General features: G+C 39.4%; 1 pseudogene; it reads right to left on the bottom strand.

The window, feature by feature from the left end:
- CD24P2 (CD24 molecule pseudogene 2) lies at nt 2,795-5,544 on the bottom strand (annotated as a pseudogene).

Raw genomic sequence — 5,829 nt, 5'->3', positions numbered from 1 at the left:
CTTGAAATATGTTAATTTCTTTGCCAACCACAGCAGATGGCCACCCTTGCTGCTTGTAACAGAAATTTAACTGATTTGACAATAGCCTTATGGTATTTCTGGTAGGATGCCAAATATTTGCATTAAACTAATCTTTGATTAAGCTACTATTTTGATATGTGAGTCTGTAAATGGAAACAGCCTCAAATCAAACTTAATTTCAATAAGCAAATAATATTTTTATTTTTAATTTGGTGACTGCAGTCTACTACAGTCTTTGTAAAATTATGCTATGCAAATGTATTTTTACATTTTTTTAAATAAACCTTTTAAAGGAAGTCTTGAAGTAGGCCTGTGTTTGCATTTGTAAATCAGAAGTGCATCACTGTTTTCTCTGTGTGGGGTGGTCTTCCACATGGAAGGAAGGATTCGCCTTAGGAAGAGGGCAGGAGACAAATAGTCATTGAACACTATGGAGATAACTTCCTTTAGCCTATTGCAAAAAGCCAAGGTCAATTTGAGGCTTTGAACTTAATTGCAAAGTAAGGAACTAGTTTCTCCCGCTTCTGGATGAACCCTTACCCACCCACAAGAGGCCTAGGTTATCCATCGGCCCTAAATACAAAATTTCTCCTAAGTCCCTCTGCAACATTCTACAAATTTTCATCTCAGCCTGTATTGATTTCTGGACTTTTAGAACCTGGTTATACCTTACGGAAGTTAGGCTATACCCTTCTGTCTTCGGATGGGGAAATGGGATTTGGAAAGGTGAGGAAAGTAATGAGTCAAGGCCAATATTCAAGCTGCTCGGTCTCTCACTCAGTGCTTTTTCAGGGCATCCCTAAGAACGTGGGGAGGTTAGACTATATGAAACAATCTACACTTACAGTTCACTACCACTTGCAGCAGAAAGCACCCTACACTGATAGGCTTCCCTTACCCTAGGTTTCTCCCCTCCACACATTTCTCTTTCTTTTCTTTTTTTTTTTTTTTTTTTTTTGTAGAATTTATTCATTTATTTTTTCACTGACGCTGACTTTTTTCAAAAGATTTTATTTCTTGGCCAGCCATGGTGGCTCATGCCTGTAATCCCCAGTACTTTGGGAGGCAGAGACAGGTGGATCACCTGAGATCAGGAGTTCAAGACCAGTCTGGCCAACGTGGTGAAACCCCATCTCTACTAAAAATACAAAAAAAAAAATTAGCTGGGCGTGGTGGCGTGCACCTGTAATCCCAGCTACTAGGGAGGCTGAGGCAGGAGAAATGCTTGACCCCAAGAGACAGAGGTTGCAGTGAGCTGGGATCACGCCACTGCACTCCAGCCTGGGTGACAGAGCAAGACTGTCTCAAAAAAAAAAAAAAAAAAAAAAGACCATCTCAAAAAAAGACCATGTCAAAAAAAATATATATATATACATATATTTTATTTTTTAAGAGCAGTTTTAGGTTCATAGCAAAATCTACAGAAGACAGAGATTTCCCATATACCCCCTACACCCACACATGCATAGCCTCCCCCATTATCAACAAACATTCCCCACTAACGTGGTATCTTTATTATAACTGTTGAACTTACATGGACACATCATGATCACCCAAAATTCACAGTTTACTAGGGTTCACTCTTGCTGTTGTACATTCTATGGGTTTGGACAAATGTATAAAGACATGTATCCATCATTATAGCATCATACAGAGTATTTTCGCTGCCTTAAAAATCCTCTGTGTTCTGCCCATTCATTCCTCCCATATCCTCCCACCAGCCACTGGCAGGCAACCACTAATCTTCTTATTGTCTTCATTGTTTTGCCTGTTCCAGGATGTCATACAGTTGGAATCAAACAGCATGTAACCTTTTTATATTGGCTTCTTTCACTTAGTAATATGCATTTAAGGTTCCTCCATGTCTTTTCATGGCTTGACAGCTTATTTATTCTAGCACTGAATCATATTCCATTGTCTGGATGTGCCACCGTTTATTTTTCCATTCACTACTAAAGAACATCTTGATTACTTCCACGTTTTTGCAATTATGTATAAAGCTGGTATGAACATTCGTGTGCTGGTTTTGTGTGGACATAAGTTTTCAGCTTCTTTGGGTAAATACCAAGAAGCCCAATTAGACTGTATAGTAAGAATATGTTTCATTTTTTAAGAAACAGCCAAATTGTCCTCCAAAGTGGCTGTACCATTTTGCATTCCCACCAGCAAGAAATGAGAGTTCCTGTCATTTCACATTCCTGTCAACATTTGGTGTTGTCAGTGTTCAAGATTTTGGCCATTTTAGTAGGCGTGTAGAGATAGCTCATTGTTGTTTTAATCTGCATTTTCATAATGACATATGATGTAGAGCATCTTTTCATATGCTTATTTACCATCTGTATTTCTTCTTTGGTGATGTATCTGTAAAGGTCTTTGGAACATTTTTTATTTTTGAGACAGGGTCTCACTCTGTTGCCTAGGCTGGAGTGCAGTGCAGTGGCACAACCTTGGCTCACTGCTGCCTCAACCTTTGAGTTCAAGCCAGCCTCCCACCTTAGTCCCCCAAGTAGCTGGGATTACAGGTGTGTGCCATTATGCCCAGCTAATTTTCTGTAGAGACGGGGTTTCCCTATGTTGCCCAGGCTAGTCTTGAATTCCTGGGCTCAACATATCTGCCGATCTCGGCCTCCCAAAGTGCTGGGATTACAGGTGTGAGCCTCTGCACCTGGCCTGGCACATTTTTTAATCAGGTTGTTTGTGTTTTTACTGTGGAGTTTTAAGAGGGGTTTTTTTTTTTTTTTTTTTGTATATTTTGGATAACAACTCTTTTTTTTTGCCATTTCTTTCTTTTTATTTACAGTTTGTGCTCAATGCAAATCAATTCCATAACATAAGAAGTTACTATGAATCAAAGCATAAATATACAAACACAATATACAATCCAAAATAGATGTATAGCATTCTGGAATAAAGCAAAAGAGTGTTCCTTCACAGACACAGTAGCTTCAGATCTGTTCAATCTGTTTGTTCTCAGGTAGTTTTCTAATGATGGAAAAAAATGACTTTGGTCATCAAACTACTGTGGCCACATTAGATTACCGGAACATCTAAGCATCAGTGTGTGACCATGCGAACGAAAGACTTCGGGGAGTGTCTGTTTTTAAAAAGGTTTCTGTGTGTCGAGGCAGTTGTAAAAGATTTACTGCAGAATCAAGCCCACTTTTAGGCTTAGGACCAGGTTCTAACTATCTAAAAATATTCACTGATAACAAAAAGTGTTCCAAATATAGCTATTCTGATTCATAGTTGTTTTTTAAGGAAAAAAAAAGTATATACAGAAAGACTATAAAAGTTTTTGTGAATTTAATGCAAATTAGCTTCCAGTCTTCACTTCCCAAATACTTGATTTACAGTTTTGACTCCTTTACATTTTTGCCTTTTTAATTTCAAGATTTGTAATTTTGCCTTCAAAACAGATCTTTTTTTAAATTGTAAAAAGTATTCAACATATGCAGAAATAAAAAGCATTTTGATGGCCGGGTGCAGGGGCTCAAGCCTGTAATCCCAGCACTTTGGGAGGCCGAGGCAGGCGGATCACCTGAGGTCAGGAGTTTGAAACCAGCCTGAGCAACATGGTGAAACCCTATCTCTAGTAAAATTACAAAAATTAGCTGGGCATGGTGTCGGGTGTCTGTAAAATCCCAGCTACTTGGGAGGCTGAGGCAGGAGAATTGCTTGAGCCTGGGAGGCAGAGGGTATACTGAGCTGAGATTGCACCACTGCACTCCAGCCTGGGCGACAAAGTGAGACTCTGTCTAAAAAATAATAATAATAATAATAATAATAATAAAAAGCATTTTGAAATTAGTCGTGGTCAATGCAATTCTACTCTTTGGAATCCGTTTAACTAAATGAATGTAGTGCTCTTGTTGAACGGAAATAGGTGATAGGAAATGCCTACCATTTGACTCTATATGGATAATCAAGAGTTGCTGAGAATGCTTGTATCTGGGGGTAGATTCTCATTCATCATTGCCCTGGCACATGTCAATTACTACATAAAAGGTCAAATGCAATGTCAAATCCAAAGTCTCAAGAGGAAAGTGAGTTCAGTTCCCAAGAGAACAGTGATAGCTCAACAATGTAAAACTTCATCTAGAATACATCGGCATTAAATTAGTGCTGTCGAAACAATACGTTGAGGAATTACAGTAACACCTGAAAGTTCCTTCTAATGTACTTATAAATAGAATCATGGAAGCTTTTTATATTACCTGTTTTATGGCATTATAGAATTAATGAACCAAATGAAAACTGAATCTCCATTCCACCATCACATCCTTTATTTCTATTCTTATTTTCTTTTTTTTTTAGATTTAATAAATTTATTTTTATTTGTGTATATTAAGATAAAATACTTCAGGAATCATATTGTCATTTCCAATTCAATTTGAAAATTAGAAGTTTTTACTTAACCTCTTATGTTACATGTATATCTCCTTTCTTCTGCATCAAGAATACTGATTTTCAGAGTCAAAGGAAGATGTAATTAGCATATCCCATAATTTACTCAATATCTTTACCCCACATTATATACATAATAGTCTCAGTCTATTCTTATTTTCAAGGTAGTATTAAGTGTCCATATTTATCAAGCCACATTCAAGGAAATCATGTCTTAACTATTTTGGATGTTGCCTCTCCTTCAACTTGTACATGAAACTCCAGCAGATTTAATATTGGCATGCATCATCTAGTCAAACCTCTCACATGTTCTTCAAATCAATCAAATTTGGGATTCTCAACATTTTCTGTGTCAATAAAAGGAATGGAATTAGTAGATTCGATGAATAACTGTTTTTCCTTGCCACACTGGACTTCCAGACGCCATTTGGATTGGGTTTAGAAGATGGGGAAGTTTAGAAGATGTTTCTTGGCCTGAGTCTCTTAAGAGGAGAGATGTAGAAGAGAGAGTAAGGCCGGGCGCGGTGGCTCACGCCTGTAATCCCAGCACTTTGGGAGGCCGAGGCGGGCGGATCACGAGGTCAGGAGATCGAGACCATCCCGGCTAAAACGGTGAAACCCCGTCTCTACTAAAAATACAAAAAATTAGCCGGGCGTAGTGGCGGGCGCCTGTAGTCCCAGCTACTTGGGAGGCTGAGGCAGGAGAATGGCGTGAACCCGGGAGGCGGAGCTTGCAGTGAGCCGAGATCCTGCCACTGCACTCCAGCCTGGGCGACAGAGCGAGACTCCTTCTCAAAAAAAAAAAAAAAAAAAAAAAAAAGAGAGAGTAAGACCACGAAGAGACTGGCTGTTGACTGCAGGGCACCAACAGCCGCCTTGGTGGTGGCAGTAGCTGGATTTGGGGCAGTCGAAGTACTCTGGGAGGAGTTACTTGAAATTGTTACAACAGTTGTTTGATTGGAATAAATCTGCGTGGGTAGGAGCAGTGCCAGCAGCAGCAGCCCCAGCCCAAGCCTGGCCACCACTGCTCTGCCCACGTCCCCTCCGTCGGTGTGCAGCGTGTCTGGCTGGATGCTGGGTGCTTGGAGAACTGCTCGCTCCAGGAGGGCGCGGGCAAGGACGATAACAACTCTTTATCAGATTTTCTTTTGCAAATATTTTCTCCCATTTTGTGGCTTACCTTTTCGTTCTCTTGACAATCTTTTTCAGATAACAGAATTTTTTTTTATTTTAATAAGGTCAGACTTATCCGTTCTTTCTTTCAAGGATTGCGCTTTTGGTATTACATCTAAAAAGTGATCACCAAACCCAAGGTATCTAGAGTTTTTCTCTTATGTTACCTTCTAGGGGTTTTGTAGTTTAGCATTTTACATGTGGGTGTGTCATCTACTTTGAGTTAATTTT

Source organism: Homo sapiens, chromosome 15 (genome assembly GCF_000001405.40).
Source record: "Homo sapiens chromosome 15, GRCh38.p14 Primary Assembly".
NCBI lineage: Eukaryota > Metazoa > Chordata > Mammalia > Primates > Hominidae > Homo > Homo sapiens.
This window is presented reverse-complemented; position numbering and strand designations above follow the sequence as displayed.